General features: G+C 36.0%; 1 pseudogene across 1 annotated transcript in view; it reads right to left on the reverse strand.

Annotated features, from left to right (window-relative positions):
• Positions 1–10,157, reverse strand: part of KMT2CP5 (lysine methyltransferase 2C pseudogene 5) — a 26,009-nt pseudogene extending 15,852 nt beyond the window's left edge. The window contains exons 1-4 of the transcript NR_171627.1: positions 10,107–10,157; positions 9,793–9,909; positions 4,162–4,263; positions 3,865–3,969 (exon numbers count right to left, since the gene is read on the reverse strand). The product of NR_171627.1 is annotated as a lysine methyltransferase 2C pseudogene 5 (transcript). The remainder of the gene's footprint in view (positions 1–3,864; positions 3,970–4,161; positions 4,264–9,792; positions 9,910–10,106) is intronic.
• Between the last annotated feature and the right edge of the window lie 10,687 nt (positions 10,158–20,844).

Here is a 20,844-nt window from a genome sequence, read left to right on the forward strand (position 1 = left end):
TTTAAGACCTAAATCAGAATTTATTTATTCATAGCAGAAAGTCAACAAAATCTAGCATTGATAAAGCAGTAAACCAGTTGATTATTTAGAGCTATAGCATTAACCACAAGAAAAAAGACCTGAAAAGATTAAAAGTGATTCCCTCAGATGTGGACGTAGAGTAAGACAAGAGTTGGTTGTTCATTACAAGGCCTTTTTTTTTTTTTTTGAGATGGAGTCTTGCTCTGTTGCCTGGGCTGGAGTGCAGTGGTGTGATCTCAGCTCACTGCAACCTCCGGCTCCCATGTTCAAATAATTCTCCTGGCTCAGCCTCCTGAGTAGCTAGGACTAGAGGAATGAGCCACCACACTCGGCTAATTTTTGTATTTTTAGTAGAGATGGGGTTTTACTGTGTTGGCCAGGCTGGCTTGAACTCCTGCCCTCAAGTGATCCACCCGCCTCGGCCTCCCAAAGTGCTGGGATGACAGGTGTGAGGCACCACACCTGGCCCATTACGAGGCTTTTAATGTCATTTGATTTTTAAACATGTATATTTATTATTTTGATTAGCTTATTGATTTTTAAGAATTTGTCTTAGATTACCAAGTTAGTATATTATTTGCCCAAATGAAGGAAATGGCCTGGGGTAAGATCAGGGTGGCTTAGAGCAGTAGCCAGCAAACATTTCCAATAAAGGGCCAGAGAGTAAACAGAAAGTTTTGAGGGCCATATGATCTGTTGCAACTTTATAAAAACTCTGCCAGTGTAATGCAAAAACCGCTACAAATATATGTAAACAAAAGAACTTGGCCATATTTCAATAAAAGTTTATTTGCAAACACAGGAAATGGGCCAGATTTAGTCTATGGGCCAGTCTGCCTGATCCTGGCTTAAACAATGACCTGAAGACAAAGTGGCAGACAGATCTGAGGTGTTTAGTGGCAGAACTTTTAAAATATTTATCTTCATTCCTACTAAGTTTTCTTCACAGATACCTGTGGTCCCTTTTACAACCAAACTCTCAAGTTTCTCCGCTTATATTCACTCTTCAAAACACTACAGTCTGGTCTCTACACCCACATCCACTCATAACTGCTTAAGCCAGGCTTGTCAAGACCTTCTTATTCTCAAATCTAATGGAAACATTAGTGTTTGTGTTTCTTGACTTCTAGTACTTCAACACTTCAACAATTTCTCCGTCTTTGAAATTTCCTTTTAACTTAGGTACTGGGGTTGTACTATCATTTTTTTCTTCCGTTGAACCAGTTTAGCCTTAGTTTTAAAAGTTTTTTCAAATAAGATGTCATCCAGGATTCCATCCATGGTACCATGTCCAAAGTTGTTACAGATATGTTTTATAATCTAATACGGATACATGCTTCAACGATAATGGAGTATATGGGACCAGGCTGTTTTCCCATAAGATAGTAGAAAATTGGACAAAGTGTATGAAACAACTGTTTTCAGATATTGGACAACACATAGTAAAGGAGACAGTGGTCTCTGAGAGGAAGGAAACACTCAGGGAGTCCTATGATATTCTGCCTAGAAACATTTTCCAGAATCCTGCCCAGGGAGGGAGAACCGCAGCAGAGTACAATCAATGGCCTCGCTGAGGTTAGGGGAGGCGAGGCAGTGGAATTTGCAGGACACAGTACTCAAAATGAAGAAGCAATAAGGACTAAGAGCTCCAGAAATCTACAAAGGATCCCCTGAAGTCTTTGGTGGAACACCAAGCCGTACTTCTAGAAGCCCAAAGACCCACAACCAGGGGAAAGTACATCTACTGGGAATGTGTAAGCTGCACAATTACCAGAGCTTGCAAAAGGCTCAAAGACAAGTGAAGCACAACCAGTCAGAGTACAAAGACACTGGTGAACAGGGGGTAGAATTCAGTAGTGATCCCAGAAAGGCCAAGTCTTAAGTATAGGGTTAAACTAATGCTAGGACTGCAGCTACCAAAATGTGGACTAGGGAACCCCAGTGGGTCTGTAAAGTTAAAACAAGTTTAAATAATACTAAGATTTAATTTGCCTTTTTTCACTTTAATTTATTCACAATTATACAGTGGTGTTTATAGAAGCTACATGTTGTATCATAATATTACATTGACATTGTACAGGTTGTGCTTCTGTAGTCTTGTGTTACAAAATGTTCCTAGTTTTAATTTCTAAAATGCTGAATAGTCGATAGTTAAAATCCTCATGAACAAAAACTATGGCGTCCCCAGTAATTTTAAAGAGTGTTAAGGTTCTAAAACCATAAAGTTTGAAAATATCCACCTTAGAGTGAAGGCTTTCTAGACTTGCCCCAGCAAGCTTAAAAAGAAGCTTCAAAGGTATCAAACTTATCCACAAACAATTGCCTCCTGCAATAAAAATGCAAGCTGAGCCAATTCACATATCCCTAGTATATTTCTAGATACTGCTGTATTTCTCAATGAGACTGCAGTATTCTATACTGTCCAAAACAGTGTCATGTAAAAGGAACCACACATAATTTTTAAAAACAGGAATAACTAGGTGTCTGATAGTGCACTAATTGTCCAATCTTAACTTATGTAAGTCGTACTCATCTGTAAAATGGGAATTCGGTAATTGTTGGATGGGTTAAAAGAAATACATTACTATCTTGAAAGGGATCTTATTCAATTTCCTTAGGTCCAAAACATTAAGCATTCTAAAAAACAAAATCTAATGATAGCAGCTACTTTTATACAGAATATAAAGTACAAAGAAGAAAAGAAACATGTTTTATGCATATATAACTCCATTTTTAATTGGCTTTATATACTCTGTGTTTTTCAGTCACATACCATGAGCAAGCAACTAATTTTAAAAAACTACAGAAATTAACCATACTAGTCTTCTATTTTGGATAGTATTAATTACAATCTTTCATTTTGATTCCTAAATTCACAAAAACCTGTATTACCCTATAAAATAAATACTAGTGTAGTTATCAACAAAGAATTCTGAAGGAGATAATGTTGATTTGCTTACTATACTGACATTTTACTGACAATGATATAACACAGTGATGTCTGAAGGGCAGGGGAGAATGGTATAAAAATCACTCATGGTTCACAACCTATTATTGAAACTGAGGTTAGTATTTATATTACATGGTATGGCAATACTAGAAAAGATTTCCTTGTGGAGTATACAGTTTAAGACCTCTGCTGTACAGCTATACCTCCATGCTTGCTTCCAGTGGCCATGACACTTTATTCAAATATGTAAGTTTTATTAAGACTGAGTTCTTAAAAAGAAAAAACCAAGAACCTTAGATACAACTAGTGAAGTATTGAGACCTGTCCATATTTAAAACCAAGCACACGATACCGCTTAAAAGGTTCCCCAGAAAGCCTCTATCCTGAAATGCTTGAAAGTGAGCAGTGCTGACTCTCGATTATTACCGATTGCATTAAATATGACACTTGTTTTCTTTCTTTTGGCTATAAGGAGAAAATGTCATTTTGTATATGAGTGAGCACAGAGGAGAGAGAATGTGGGAAAGAACAGAATGGGATAATAATTTTTTACTAAATACTCCAGTTCTCAGCTTTATAAATCAACAGACAAAATGAATCAGCTAAACCTAAAATCTTTGTGAATAGTATAAATTGTCTTTTAAATTAAATGCATATATTTTTATGTTTTACTTTTTCAAGACAAAAGCAGGATATTAGTACAATATAAGATTTATAGAGGAGCAAATTTCTTGAGATAGGAAACCCTTAAAAGCAGTATTTAAAGTACTTAAATACGGTCACATATGTTTAATAATCATAATACTTAATTGTGAGAACTGGGAGCTCATGTTACTACTAAAACCAAATAAAAATTCAATACATATTTGTTAACTCAGTTTAAGGATGTTTACCTTAATACTGACACAGTATGGATGGTAACACTGACCACACTGAGAACAGGCAAGTAATCTTCCTTCTGCTCCTTGGCCAAAACTGCCACAAACTACACATATATCCTGAAGTTAAGAAAACAGAACATATTTTAAATGGAGACTAAGCTAAAAACCTACAAATTTTACTTTAAAAATACCTTCTTAACTAATATAGCTCTATAGCTAAATATTGGATCACTTCTGTGTATATGAGATAAAGCAGAAATGTGCAAGGAGGAATTCAATGAGGAAGACAGTAAATTGTCAAGTTCAAACCTGATTCAAAGTGAACTTGTCACTGCTAGAAAACAACACAACCATATCGAGCACAGAGTTTTCTTCATCATCCTTATTTGATGAAATATCTGCAGTAGACACCTATAAAAAGCAAAATACACAAAATACGAAGTTATATTTTTCACTTGTTTTACACTTAACTGGAAAGCTTCAGAAAATTCATAATCAAAACATATATTTTTGCTAAGGTCTAGAATAACAATTCCAAATATTAATGCTAAGATACTACAGCAAAATGGAGTCATGACATTTTATTATTCAACTCATTCTCTCTTTAGAGGTAGAATTCCTTTAGACCAAGAAGTAATGAGAAAATATAATAAAGCTGTCTTAGTAAGACTTGATTATGCAGAATTCTAATCAAGAAACTATAAATGATAATATTATAGGTATGTACACACACAAATCTATCACTATTTTAATGACACACACTTGGGATCTGCAATGTAGTTAGTCTGAACTGAGATGTCCTGCAAACATAAAATACAGCACATAATTACATATTACATGTTGAAATGGTAATATTTTAGATATATCGGTCAAAATGGAAGGCATTAAAATTAATTTCGCCTGTTCACTATAACCTTTATTTTGTTTCGAGAGGAGTTTCACTCTTGTTGACCAGGCTGGAGTGTAATGGCGCGATCTCGGCTCGTTGCAACCTCTGCCTCCTGGTTCAAGCTGTTCTCCCTGACTCAGCCTCCCAAGTAGCTGGGATTACAGTTGTCCACCACCATGCCCAGCTAATTTCTGTATTTTTAGTAGAGACAGGGTTTCACCATATTGGTCAGGCTGGTCTCTTAACTCCTGACCTCAAATGATCCACTGCACCCAACTCACTGTAACTTTTTAATGTGGCTACTAGGAAGTTTTAAATTGCATATGTGGTTCTCATTATATTTCTATTAGCACCGCTTTAGAATATTATTTTGAATAACATCCAAATTTCAGTATCAGCCAAATGATTATCAACCAATATTGTTCAGTCTGGACTTAGTTCTATTTGACTAAATCAACTAAGTAGCCACTGGTTTGTTAATAATTTCTAGAGTGATATGAAACAAAATAAAGCTCTGAACTAGAAGTTGTAGAAGAAGACAAGGAGGGCACTGCCAAAATCATAAAATACAATCCTCTTTCTTTAAAAAGCTTACAACCGAAGCCTGGAAAGACAGAGTTGAAACACAACAGGTTATGTTCAAGGTCAAAACATAAAACGACTGAATTACTTTTCTTGAGGAACAACTGAAAGATTAACCAGCTGGGTGTGGTGGCTCATGCCTATAATCTTAGCACTTTGAGAGGCTAAAGTGTGTGGATCGCTTGAGCTCAGGAGTTCGAGACCAGCCTGGGCAACATGGTGAAATCCTGTCTCTACCAAAAATACAAAAAACAGCCGAGCGTGGTGGCACACGCCTGTAGTCTCAGCTACTCAGGAGGCTGAGGCAGGAGAATCACTTGAACCCAGGAGGCAGAGGTTACAGTGAGCCAAGATTACACCACTGCACTCCAGCCTGGGTGACAGAGGGAGACCCTGTCTCAAAAAAAAAAAAAAAAAAAAAAAAGAGGAAGGAAGGAAGGTTGGTTGGTTAACTAAATAGAAGGACTATATCTCAGTATTTTTCAATACAAATACATTTAAAAGCAGTTTTTTTTGGTTTGTTTTTTTGTTTGTTTGTTTTTGAGATGGAGTCTTGCTATGTCACCCAGGCTGGAGTGCAGTGGCACAATCTCAGCTCACTGCAAGCTCTGTCTTCACGGCATTCTCCTGCCTCAGCCTCCCGAGTAGCTGGGACTACAGGCGCCTGCCACCATGCCCAGCTAATTTTTTGTATTTTTAGTAGAGATGGGGTTTCACCATGTTAGCCAGGATGGTCTCGATCTCCAGACCTCACGATCCACCCACCTCGGCCTCCCGAAGTGCTGGGATTACAGGCATGAGCCACCGTGCCCAGCCTAAAAGCAGTTTTAATGGATAGTACTAATGCTTTATAAGAGCAATTTATAGTCATATGAACCCTAATGACTACAAGTGTTAATAATGCCAATATTCATCATTAGGGAGTAAGTAAAGCCATGACAAATCCAAACATTAGAAAATTATGCAACATTTTAAAAGTAGGGAGGTAGAAACTTGTATAGACTGCCATGAAAGAAATTATCAAAAGACGTTATTGATGAAAAAATAAATTGCAGAACAGTATTTGAGGTATAGCACTATAATATAAAAACATGCAAAGTCATTATATGTAGTCTATGGGCACATATAATAGGTTGAATCATAAGAAATTGCTGCTTTTCATCAGTTCAGAAATAATATTGGCAATTTCATATGGATCAACCTAATATATAAATATACCAAACTGGTAACAGGGAAATAAGGAGGACTGAGGAGTTAGTAATGGTAAATTCTGATCTACCTATAACGCTTTAATTTTTTTAATAGAGAAAATGTATTGATGTGTTATATGCATAGCATTAACAAAATTAGCTTTCTAAGATTTTAGAGAATCATCCAAGATGATTCACAAAAGTAGAATCATCATCACCAGTAAGAAACTAAGTGACTACTAAAAGTAATCATTAATTCAGTCATAGGACTAATGATGCATTGACAAGGCTATTGAGATATATAATTATGGAAATGGCTAAAATAGAGATAAAGTATCTATTTCTACCTCCCAACCACTAACAGAAAATTCAACACATTATACACACTGAGCAGCTCAAAGAAATTGTAAAGATCCATTATTATTTTTAAAAGGAAATTTAACCAGTGGATGCTTTCACTGAAAATGATAAACAATATATTCCCAGTATAAACCAGAAACAAAGTCTGCAGTAGAAAACTACAATGTCCCTAGATTCAAGTGGGGGTGGGGAGTCATATTTAAATAATAAGTGCAGAAAAACCAAAATATTTTAAAATAATTGTCCATGCAAGAAAAAAAACAGTATCATCTAGCTTGAAGACCCACTGTTTTTATTTTATAATTTATTTCATGACCTTTAGACTGCTAGAAAAATAAAACCTAACTTGAGGGCAAAGGTAATCTTTGAGAAAATATGTGCTATTGTTGCCTGCATAGATAATAGTGTGATTTATCCAGAAGGTGATAGAAATTTCATTTTCCTAGACCACAGATATAAGCCAAGGAGAATAGAAAGCTCTGACCTAAACTTCACAAGTGTCCCTTCCAAGCAGGGACACGTAAGAGTAAACAAAAAAAGAAGATCAAACTAAACTCAAAGTGAGAAGATAGGAAAAAATAAAGATGAGAATATAAATCAATAAAACAGAAAGGGGAAAGAAAATAGAGAAAAGTCCATGAAAACAAAGGCTGACTCAAGAAGATCAATAAGATTGATAAATCTCTAGCCAGACTGATCAGGAAAAAAATAAGACAAGATACAAATTATTAGTATCAAGAATGAGGAAGGTGAAATCACTACAGATTCTACAGGTATTAAAATAATAAGAAACATTATGATCAACTCCATTCCTTTAATTTGTCAAGATAGACAAAATGAACAAATTTCTTGAAAGGTGCAAATTTATGCAAGGAGAGACAGATAACCTAAATAGGTACCTATTAAAGAAATAAAATTTGTTGTTAAAAACTGTCCCACAGGCTGGGCACCAGTGGCTCATCCCATAATCCTAGCACTTTGGGAGATGGATCACCTGAGGTCAGGAGTTCGAGACCAGCCTAGCCAACATGGCGAAACTCCATCTCTACCCAAAACACAAAAATTAGCTAGGCATGTTGGTACATGCCAGTAATCCCAGCTACTCAGAAGGCTGAGGCAGGAGAATTGCTTGAACCTGGGAGGTGGAGGCTGTAGTGAGCAGAGATCACGCCACTGCACTCCAGCCTGGGCATGGTGGCTCACGCCTGTAATCCCAACACTTTGGGAGGCCAAGGCAGGTGGATCACATGAGGTCAGGAGTTCGAGACCAGCCTGGCCAACATGGTGAAAAACTGTCTCTACTAAAAATACAAAAAAAAAAAAAATTAGCCAGGCATGGTGGCAGGCACATGTAATCCCAGCTACCCAGGGGGCTGAGGCAGGGGAATCACTTGAACCTGGGAGGCAGTGGTTGCATGAGCTGAGATTGTGCCATTGCACTCCAGCCTAGGCAACAAGAGCAAAACTCCATCTCAAAAGAAAGAAAAAAAAAAAAAAAAGAAAACACAACAAAAGCCCCCCACAAAGAAAATTTCAGGCCAAGATGGTTTCACTAATAAATTCATGTATAATATAAGAAGATACATTTCCACTACTACACAACTTTTCCAGAAAACTGAAGATGAGAATATACTTTCTGATTCATTCTATGAAGCTGGAGTTATGCTGATACCAAAACCAGATGAAGACATTACAAGAATGTAAGACTACAGGCTGGGGCATGGTGACTCACGCCTGTAATCCCAGCATTTTGGGAAGCCAAGGTGGGAAAATTGCTTGAGCTCAGAAGTTCGAGACCAGCCTGGACAACATAGTGAGATGCTGTCTCTATTAAAAATTTTAAAAAAGTAGTTGGGTGTGTTGGCACACAGCTATGGTCCCAGCTACTTGGGAGACAGAGGTGGGAGGTCAAAGCTGGAGTTAGCTATGATCGCACCACTGCACTCCAGCCAGGAATTAGAATGAGAACCTGTCTCAGAAAAAAAAAAAAAAAAAGAAGAAAAAAAAGTGCACAGGTCTACAACCGTGGTGCATCCACAGTTTTATTAATACTCAGCAAGAAAAGGAAGTACACTGTTAACAAGTACAACAGCATAGATTAATCTCCAAATAATTGTGCTGAAATAAATCAGTCCAAAAAGCACACAGTTCTGTATGATTCCACTTATATACAACTCTAGAAAATGCAAACTAATCTTGGGGACAAGGACGGATGGCAGGGGGAATGCAGAAAATTACAGAGGGACATGAAGAAACGTTGGGAGATGAATATATTCACTATCATGATTGTGGTATCGTTTTCAAGGGTGTATATGTATATATCAAAGCTTATGGAATTGTACATGTCAAATATAGCTTATATCAACTATACCTCAATAAGCCTGGTTTTAAAATTTTTCTTTTTGAAAAAAGGACAAGAATCTAAGCTTCCTTATTCCTGGTTTAGTAGTAAACTTGAACAATTTCACCTGTCTCCTATACTTAAAATGACATTTCAGAATTTTAAAAACAGGATTTTAATAAAATAGCGAAGTTATTACATAAAATATTTGCTAGTAGTTAACAAATATATTTGTAATACACATATAAATAAAGCCTCATAACATGATAGTAAGCAAATATCAATCTTAAAATTTTTTAAATAAAAGAGCACCTATATTACATACTGACTTTTTAGAGAGGGTTGGCATAGAAAGATAAGGAGTCAAAGAGGAAGGTAAGAAAAGAGAAAGGATAAGAAAGTAAATATACAAGAAAACGTAACCAGAGGCTCAAAAAAAAAAAAAAAAGCAAAGTAGGACAGTAAAATAAACATTTTGACCTATTTATATAACTTTTAAGTTCAAAATAACTTGCTATGAGATTTTCATCATTAACTGACATTTAGATTAGAGAAAATATACATGAAGCAAGCCTCACCCCAGGCAATACAACAGCTCCGATTCCACTTTTCAGCTTTGACCTGCCTCGGCCACCTCGCCCCGACAGTCCTGCACCTCGAGGTCTCCGCTTTCCTGGAAATCCAGACCCATGGCCCTATGTAACAGATTAGGAAAAGTCAACATTCTGTGACAGCCCAAAATAATTTTTAAATCCAAATGCCACTGAGATAAAACATTTTATTAAATGTTATACAAACACTTCTTTAGATAAGTATTAAGAAACCTGGTATTATTTTTATCTTTAAAAGTATATTCCACAACTTAAAATTCTAAATATAAAATGCTTACAACCTTAGAATCATACTTTCGGGCTGTCACTGTGAACGCTATCAGCAAGCCTTTGCATGATTTTTCTCTTTGCCACTCCTGCATTCTCGGTGACGACAACAACTATAGCCTTATCCAGATATTTCGAAGTGCAACAAATTGTATTCAATATAGAGTAAGGATAAGGAAGAACTCTCTCATTAACTGGTCTCGCGGTGATTACAGTAATAGCTAACATCTATTGAGTACTTACTATGTACTAATCTAAGTATTTTTTACTCTCAACAATCCCATATAGTAGGTTTTATTATCCTCGTTTGAGATGAGTGTGCTGAGGAATAAAATGGTTAAGTAACTTGTCCAAGGTCGCTTAGCTAGCAAGCCTGGCTCCAGCGTCCCTGGGTTGGAAGCATATTCTGTACTGCTACATCAGCATAAAAGTTCATTTTTGCTAGTGTGTAACAGTATTCTTCCTGTCATTAAAATTAAGTCAGTTTCCTTCACTATTCAACAGTTCTCTTATGAACTCAACATTTCTACCTCATTCACCATTGTATTTAGAGGAAAATTTATTATTATTGTTATTACTTTTATTTTTGAGACAAGAACTTGATCCGTCACTCAGGTTGGAGTGCAGTGGTGTGATCACAGCTCACTGCAGCCTAGAACTCTTGGGCTCAAGTGATCCTCCTGCTTCTGCCTCCCAAAGTGCCAGGATTACAGGAGTAAGCCAAAGCGTCCAGCCAGGAAAAATTATTTGAGGATTACAGGAAAGCTGACAAAAGGCTTTGTGAAAGCTTTGCTTTAAATAATCTGAATAATAAATACTTGAAATGGAAATAATTTATCTGACTTCTTACACAAGAAATAAACCTATGGGAAAATGTGTTAAATTCCCTGATAATTTCAGACATTAAGTACCAGAGTATGGTGTTCCCTGCCCCCTCACCCTTGTTCGTACTAATTAATTACTCCTTGAAAAAACCTGGCACCTACCTAAGTAGATGAATTATGTATATTTAAAATTATCCAGATGCTCAGGAAAATACTTAGGTGTTTCTCTCACCATAAGTTAAATAATATGTCATATCTTCAACTGATGTCCCTTATCATAGTTTGAAATAAACTTATTCCCTATTTAGCAGAATGGTTTCCAAGTCAAAAATTTATGATGATACTGTAAGCATAAAATAGAAACACATGAACAAAAGGAATGGGAGGAATGGCTTTTTTCCCTTTGGATGTAATAAATACAGCCAGCTCCCAGTTTCAAACTGCCACTCCTGTCTTCTCTTACCCTGCTCTCCTTGAGATCCCTTTTGAGAAGTGCATCAGCTTCTTTGCACAACAGATAGATGGGGTCAGGTTAGTTTTTTGGGTTTTTTGTTTGTTTGTTTGTTTTTGAGATGGAGGCTCGCTTCTTTGCCCAGGCTGGAGTGCAATGATGTGATCTTGGCTCACTGCAACCTCCATCTCCTGGGTTCAAGCAATTCTCCTGCCTCAGCCTCCCTAGCAGCTGGGATTACAGGCACATGCCACCACGCACGGCTAAATCTCTTTGTATTTTTAGTAGAGACGGGGTTTCACCACTTTGGCCAGGTTGGCCTCGAACTCCTGACCTCCAGTGATATGCCCCCTCAGCCTCCCAAAGTGCTGGGATTACAGGCGTGAGCCACTGCGCCCGGCCGAGTTTGTTTTGTTATTAAATTGGTATAAAAGATTTTTGAAAAATTAAGTCAGTGATTAAAAATCAAGACTACAGTAATCTCTCAATTTATTTTCTCAAACATGAAATGCTGACCCAGAAAAAAGGTAAGTAAAAATTGGTGGTCTATATTATCAAATTGTCAAATGAGGTATATTTATACCTCAATATCTTGGATGATATCAGGGGGAGGTAGGGAGGTTAAAAAAAAATAGTTCTTCCAGTCATGAAAGAAAATAAAGTATAATCTAGAATTCCTTAAAATCCTTGATTAGTCTGAATTAAACAGCCATATTCCAGAATATTAAATATAGAATATGAAGAAAAACTTTCATCTCCAGTCAATGAAGTATTTTAACTTTTGAGTTAATACTTTTTCAAATTAATTTTTTTCTCTTCAAAATGCATCACACTACTTAACTCACTTCAAGGACTGGCACAGCCATCAACCAATGTCATGGGGGAAAAAGCCTTGTCATTTTAAGGTATTAAACAGACAATGAAATCTGCCACAATTTTGGTATTTCTTCTCCATAAGAACATAATAAATTAATGGAGTTTTTTCTTTTGCTTTTTTCTAAGCAACAAAGTTTTATGATATCATGAATGAAAAGGTCCTTAATTACCTTTTGGTCTACATGTCAAGGACTTCTCCCTCATAAAACCGGTAGTAATCACAACAAAAGGAATTAACCATAAAAAGAGGTATTAAAAATGTATACTTGATTTTTAAATGCAAGCATATTATTTCTTTACATTAAAATTTTTAGATTTAAAAAGTGTTTCTGGAAGCTCAATCTAGAAAAGAAAGATTTAATTCTTTACACCCAGTAGGGCAAAACAAATCAGACAGAAATGATATATGAACGTAAATGCAATTTTATTTACCATTTTGATGCTCCAAATGGCACTGCCAGGAAGCTGCCTGGGTTTAAAAATTTCCCGACCTCCTGAAATGTCTGGGGACCAGGAAGGTGGGCTCACTGTATTATGGGTACTCCAAGCCTCCTAGGATATGGCAGTTGAGAAAATAGATGTGTAAAACTCAGCAACATAAAAGGTCAAAGCCAGCAACTAAGGAATTTTAGAACAGCAAAAACAAATGCAAACATATGGAAATTTAGGACAAATTGCTTCAAGGAAGGCAAAATAAGCTAATCACTAACAGTGACTTAAACATTTAAGTATAACAAATAACTTAAATGTTTGCTGCTACAGAGACATCACTACAATGAAACATTAAAAATTAAGGTTTATATGACATCAACATTGACTCATGAACTGCAATTACTGCACCAAAAAGTAAATAAAAGTAAATCACACTTTAAGAATTAACACTAGAAGAAAGTATTGGGGCGTTATTTTTCTTCTAACAACTATCACTCTACTTAAAAGGAGAAATGGATAAGCATAAGGAATTCTATATTCTATAGCTATAAACAACCAAAACCAGTAGGCCAAAGAATGCAATGAGAAACATAAGCAATAGATAAATGCATAAACTTTACACTGTAGAGAGCTGGTAACATTAAAATGCAAATACCATTATAATCTTAGCATTTAATCACTCTTTCTTCAGTGACCATTAGTTGTCGGTTTGGTTTCGGTTTTTACTCAGGGAAATGAATACTTTATGGAAATTACATCCAACGGACAAAAGTGAAGAAACGTTAAAGCAAATTGTCCTAAATTTGCAAATAAAATGCCTAAAGTACCTGATAAATTATATAGAAAGTAGTATCTTATTAAAATCTATATAACTAAAACTAAAGCATTTTACTTCCAAACAACCACATTCAGCAATACCCTGAACTAATCTGAAGATGCTAAACAGCATAAAGAAAAATGTTTACTCCACAAAGATAACATTTTAAAGAAAAACAAGACAAATGTCAAACAATAAAAGGATATATTTTGAATTAGGTAATTCAATGGTGCATGCATAATTTTACCAATCAAGTAACCAAAACTTAAGACAAGGTACATAGTACTTACCAGGTTTCTAGAATATCATCAAATTAACAAGTACTATCTCATTAATCACATAAAAATACCACCAGGAATTAAAATAACCAGAAATAAGAATGTGACTACTCTTGGGGTAAGAGATAGGTAATGGAATAACAGTATTTTGGAAAAGCCACACAAGCAATAGACTGGTTTCATTTTTAAGTCACAAATTCAACCCACACACATTGAAGTCCAGCAATCCAACTCATTCTCTCCAGCAAACACTTTATTTTTTTCCCCTCCAGGATTACCCTCAGGTGTTCTTTCTTACCCATCAAATCTCTAACCTAGCTCAGGTAATCACTATGCTGATTTCACTGAGCAGCAACCACTGCAGGTCAATTACCTCACTTTCATAATTTCAAATCAACTTGAATCTGTACCTATGTCTTCTTCCCTACTATTAGTAGGGAAGTGTTGTCAAAAGCCATTTCTCTTTTCTCATTTTACTCATGCTCCTAACATCTGGCATACTGTTCTGCTGGATTTGGCAGCAGCCCACCTGTGGATATTTCACTGACTTCCTCGCTAATCTTTCTTCATCTCCTGTACGTGTTCTTCCTCTATTTGACTTCCAAAGCCCTGGAGTTTCCCAGGGCTTGAGCCTAGATCCTAAATGGTGTTATCTACAATGAGGGCATCTTGGAAGTTGATGCTTCCCACATTCTTATTTCTAGTTTTAATCAAAGATCTCCAAATTAGCAGGATTTTCAACTTCCTTCTTAGCATTTCCATTTTCTCACATAAAACCCCTCTTAATTTTGCCATGTTTAAAATTTCTCCCTTAACCGGTTTCATCCCAGTCTTCCCCATCCTTATAAATGGCATCCAGTCCCTTGTCACTCTCCTCTGCTCCTTCAGTCCTCTCCCCCAACACCTCGTCAATGCAAATCATCAGCAAATTCAAGACTTTTTATCTTCAAGTTTTGTCTCCGATCCTTCTGCTTCTTGTCACTTCCACCACTAGCAGCCCACTCGTGGCCACCACCATCTCTCACCTAACCTGCTACAAGAGTCTACTGCTGGTTATGCTTCTCCCACCCTGCATCTACTCAAGCCTTTCCCCACAGCAGCCAGAGGAACTTTTCAAAAGTACAAATGTGATCAAGCAAGTCACTATTCTATTTCAAATCTTCAATTGCTTCTCAGAGCACTTAAAAGACAAACCTTTCCCAGTGCCTTTCTCCAGCTCATCTTGTGGCACTTGTCTCCCTGCTGCTATGCTCCAGCTATTCTGGCTTCCTTGCTGTCCTTCAAACATGCCAAGTTCTTTATCAATCAGAGCCCAACTGACTCAGAACACTTCACTATACCATTCCAGCCCTTCAATAAATGTCTGGCATCTTCTTTCTTTCTTTTTTTTTGAGATGGAGTCTTGCTCTGTCACCCAGGCTAGAGTGCAGTGGTGCGATCTCGGCTCACTGCAACCTCTACCTCCCAGGTTCAAGCAATTCTCTTGCCTCAAGCCTCCTGAGTAGCTGGGATTACAGGCATGCACCACCACGCCCGGCTAATTTTTGTATTTTTAGTAGAGAAAGGTTGTCTCCAAGTTGCTCAGGCTGGTCTCCAACTCCCGACCTCAAGTGATCTGCCCACGTTAGCCTCCCAAAGTGCTGGGATTACAGGTGTGAACCACTGCGCTGGGCCAATATTATTTTTTTAAGAAAATACTAATAAAAAGGAACAATTGATATTAAATAAAATTTAACTATTGACTATAAATATATGTTTCAAGAGATTTGAGTGAAAATACCATTCTACGTTAAAATAAAAAATATAACATTCGATAACTATAGTAATAACATGTTCTCAAAGATTCAAGGGGCTAAAGCTAATGAGAAAAAGTTAAATATAAACATCTTACAATTTACCTAATTACTTGAAATAGAAACTTATGTTCATTCCTGTATTTCTCCATTTTTCCAATTTCTAATGTCTACTTCTTTCCATTTTGTATTTTCTTGTATTGAGGCAATTTAAAGAGGATATGCCAGGTCTTCAGAAAGCCAAGAACTGAACATAAGCACTCTGGAACCTATCTGAACTTAATTTTGTCCAAGATTTTTTTAATGGTTGAAAATTGGCTCAACTGGGGATACTAAGAGGAAATATCAGGGGCAAAGGGGATTTGGGTTAAACAGATCGAACAGGATTCTTACTGAAGGCAGGCCAGACTGATCAGAAATCATCTGGAGGGTGGTGGGAGATAACAAATTTGATCAGATATCAAAGGTGATCAGTACTGAGAGTGGGGGATTCTTTGCAAGTTTCTTCCTAAACCTGAGAGATGTGGGCCAGACTAGGATGAACACTGAAAGCTGAGGCTGAGAGGTGGCTTAGAGGATCCCAACTAGAGTTTGGGCAAGGGGAGAGGCTTTGTCAATGCAAACATGCATTCAGCAATATTACCAAGTACAGATGCATGCACATAAAAATACTGAAAGGAAATATAAGAAAATGTTTAAAAATTTTTAGTGGCTTATTTATTTTATGTAATTTAAATATATATATATAAAATTAAGGTGTACTTTGAACACATACTAACACATTCAAAGAATTAAGTATACATTTGATAATACATAATAGTTACAAAATAAGCAAGGTCTTCATGCAAACGAGTTTAGAATTTCCAGGGTTTATTACTTAGCATTTGATCAGCAGGCCTGTAACTTCTTCTGCTGCCCATTCATTGCCCATTTTATTAAAAATTCCTCAAGTGGATGCATTGGAATGGAAGAAACACTGACTCTTTCCTTCAAAGAAGGAAACAACAAACCTTGTTTGACAACCCTGGTCAAACAAGACAAGGACCAAGTGGCTAGTGGTAAGGAAAGTTGGTCAAACTAATGAATGACATTTTAGATTAAAAGTGAATTTTATTTAACCCAATTATTCTTATCCTATGCACACAAATTTGAATTTAAGTTAGCTTGATGTAGATGGTCACCCCATTCCAAAGCATGGGTCCAAATACCCTAAGGTTCCAGAAGGAGCCAGCTTTCTTCAGAAGGTGGCAAGTCATTGCAAAGTACTGAGGAAAACTTTCTTTAAAGTATCTTTTTTCATCATTCCATATTTTGCTCCTTATAATTGCAACTGCTCTCCTTATATGTCTCTTTTGAAACTTCTCACTTGTCTAAGGTGCTATTGTTCCTCCTCATCTTTTTTTTTTTTTTTAATAGCATAGTCTCTCTCCCTCCTTGCCATGCTGAAAAGGCTTCTGACTTGCTGTTCTTGCCAGGAAATATTTCTGCAGGGCGTATTGGAGTGGAACTACTTACAGAGTGTCAGGGCAAGTCCTTACATTTGTTTATGCTTAGGACACAACACAGAAGATAATTTTCTAAGTTAAAGATTGTATGATTTTATCTTGACTTCAGAAACTGGTCATACTTTTTTACTTTAGTTTCTAAGAACCTCAGAGCTGAACTTGAAACAACTTTAATAATTCCAATGAGACATTTGTTATTTATCCTTTTTAAAAAAGACTTTTCTAATTTAAATAATGTTATTATTGCTCTAAATTTGCCAGGTTCATGTAAGAATTTTATAAACTGTTTTAAAACTAATTTACATTAAGTTGGAATAAAGTTAACCAAATTAATACAAACATATTTTATTGCACTTCTCTTTATTGTGCTTCACAGATAGGAACATTTTTTCTTTATTTACAAATGAGATGTTTTTGACAACCCTGGTGAAGCAAGTCTATTGGTGCCATTTAACAAACAGCCTGTGCTCACTTTGTGTCTTGGTTTCACACTTTGGTAATCTTCACAATTTTTAAAATATTTCCTTATTATTATATTCGTTACGGTGATCTGTGATCAGTGATCATTAATGTTATGGGAGGCAGAGTTTGCAGTGAGCAGAGATCATGCCAGTGCACTCCAACCTGGGCAACAGAGTGAGACTCCATCTCAAAAAAAAAAAAAGGAGTTTTTATATGTAGGGTACAAAATACTATCTGACCTTAGGGTATGTGCAAATTTTTCTGAATTAATTAAGACTTAAATATCAACAGGAATGATTGTTTTTGTTACAATCACCAGGTGGGTGATCTGATACTTTCCCCTGAAAAATGCATATACAAAATTTTCACATAATTTAAAAACATCCACAGATGCATAGCTATGGATTCAGTTTATGGATCAAGAATTCAACTCCTCAGAAGTAAAAGATTACATGAGAAAGTATCTGATATTGAGGTGACAAGGAATAATGTTGAAATGTATCTCATTAAAAAGTGCAGACAGTTGTGGCTAAGACATTGGGTATTACAGAGGTGCATCCATGTGTCCAGTGAGAAGACTTTAAGAATCTGTTTGGGAATAATGAGAACATGAGCATTCTCCTCCCTACCTCTAGCACTCCCCTCCTGCTATTTGGGTATTGTGAATTTACCAAACACAGTGATTTAGGTCACTTTTATTATTTCAGAAATTCCAGATACCTTACTACTTATATAAAATAGCCCTTGAAAGGATGCTTACCATTAAATAATGTCTAATACAAAGAAAAGACAAATGTATGTGATCTGTAGTGCACAGTTATAATACAATCTGAATACTACATTTAAATTTTTCACTCCACTTTCCAAGAAATAAAGCATTGATTCTAAATATATTATCTATTTGTCAAAACAAATAGAAACTATCTAGTGTTTCATTTATAAAAGAAATTAATTAATGGTGTCTCTAAGTTAATTTTTTACTTCTTTTCCCCATATCATTTTTATATTATATGAGAGCATATTTTTCTACTCTACCCTGGAATTAATAAACAAAAAATAAGGTATGATATTTAACCTAGGGCTACCACATTTTTTTCAGTGTATTTAGTAGGTTCTCCTAAATCTGGAAAAGAAAACTTCAAATATAAACATAACCAAACTAAAATAACACCTTTTTTCTTCTATTTACTTTATTTCTTGAACTCAGTGATGTAATATGTCTTCATCTGCCTCTGAGAATACACTTAAAACTACAGAAGCAAATTAACATTTTCCCAATTCACATGTAGTGCAATATTTAAGATTTCATCTAATTGAACACGTGTTGGATCAAATTTATAATACTAAAAGCACTCTTCTACATACTGCAATGTCTAGATGGAAGACAAGCTAGTCAGGTGGCAGAGTGAACATCATTCTGGTAGGCCTTTTCAAGCTGTCACTTGCAAGATGTTTGGACTGCTGAGAATGTTAGCCATAATTAATTGCAGAGATAGGAGGCTGCAAATGGGTGAGGTAATGTTCAAATGCATGGAATGATGACTAGTCATAGTAAAAGATAATAGATGTGGCCACATTGCTTTGAGAAAATTTAGAGAATATTTTGGGTCACAATGATACATTTCTGCATTATTTGTGGAATGTTTTCAATGCAATTACATCACACAGGTAGACTTCCAGATCCTGTGTCTAACTTACTTTCCTTGGCTCTGTGGGAGAACACATATTCTAATGAAGTTCATTTTAAGGCAAATATTTCTTGAAAATACAAAACTGATAGATATATGTATGCAGGTTTCCTTCTTATACGTCTTTTATAAACAATGAAGTTGTATTTCTCCTTTAGTGTTTAATGTGTTTCATCAGATAATGCCCTAGAAGTTTTATCAAATTTTTCTGTCTACCATTTGAAGATGTATGAGAGGGAAAAAATGCAGTCTGCCTGCTTCACTAACAAAAGTAGGACAAAGGCCATCACAACTGAAATATGTGAAACACTTGGTTTTATGAATTTCAAGCATTTTATATCTCTACATTTGGACTCGAGTAAAGACATTTCATAGAAAAACTGAAATATTTTTATTTGTTTATTTGTTAATCTTGATAACCTGCAATAGTTTACAGCCAGAATGGCAGCTTTTATATATGTACACTCATTTAAATACAGTTTCATACCGTAAATAGCCATGGGGCAAAATATCTGCCTCTAGGCACAAAAAAAAAATCTTTGCCGCTAAATAAACACCTTTAAGTGATACTGCAAAGAATAGATATGAGGTAATTTTTTACCTAAATGACTCTGGCCTGTATTAAGACATATTCACTGTAACAATTCAAGTTTTAAAATCCTTGTTTTGTAACTCAAAAATATATCTTTTTTACAAAACACATCTTTACATTTATTGCTATTGTACATTTATTTGGCAGGAAACAGGGATGTTTGATGTCTTGCAATGATAAAGCAATCGTATTCAATAGAAAATTGTCTCACATTCTGCAAGACTTTTGAACATTCTATAAGACAATTACATAAGTGAAAAACAAATTTGTAGATATTTGAGTACAACCATTTAATATATGAATAAAAGCAGTTCAGAACATTTTAATGTACACTGCATTTTCTGATAGTAAGATTTTAGGTTAAAATAAGATTATACTTCAAAAAGTGTACCATTTTGAAAAAAAATCATATCACTGCTGGCAATGCCATTTTCATACTAGTCCAACATATTGCTTATCCATCTGTGTTTGTTTGATTTTACTGTTATTACTTTCATGATAATGCTAAAGTACATACATACACACACACACACACACACCTAAGGTGTGCAGGCTTTCATCCAAGCTTACTGGTATTAATTAAAAATCAACCAGAGGTAGGGAAAAATAAAACTTATTCAACAATACTATTGCAATAGGGAGAATATTCCAAACTCAATCTACAGGTGTCTCAGGATCAGACAGGAAAAGGCTTTCCTTTTCTAGGGAAGGACAAGCAGGGCTGGCAGAAGCCTCCTTGGAGAGAAGGACAGGCAGTGGGGTGAGCAGGTGGCAAAACCAGGATGCTCCAATAAAAATAGTTTCTCTGGGAGTCCCGCTCATTTTTGGAGTGAGCTGTTAGCGGGCTGGTCGGTCCTTTAGTGCTTGTTCAGTCTTAGGTGGTGAGCCAAGGTCCAGGGGCCTGAGGAGAGGAGACAAGACTGTCTGAAGTTTGATAAAATCAAGTCAATGGGTAGTTATGAGTAATTGTGAGCAATTGGTCAGCTTTGGGCTCAGCACACACCCCACCTTATGTTGTTTACCACAAACAAAAC

This window comes from Homo sapiens, chromosome 2 (assembly GCF_000001405.40).
Source record: "Homo sapiens chromosome 2, GRCh38.p14 Primary Assembly".
NCBI classification, from domain to species: Eukaryota; Metazoa; Chordata; class Mammalia; order Primates; family Hominidae; genus Homo; species Homo sapiens.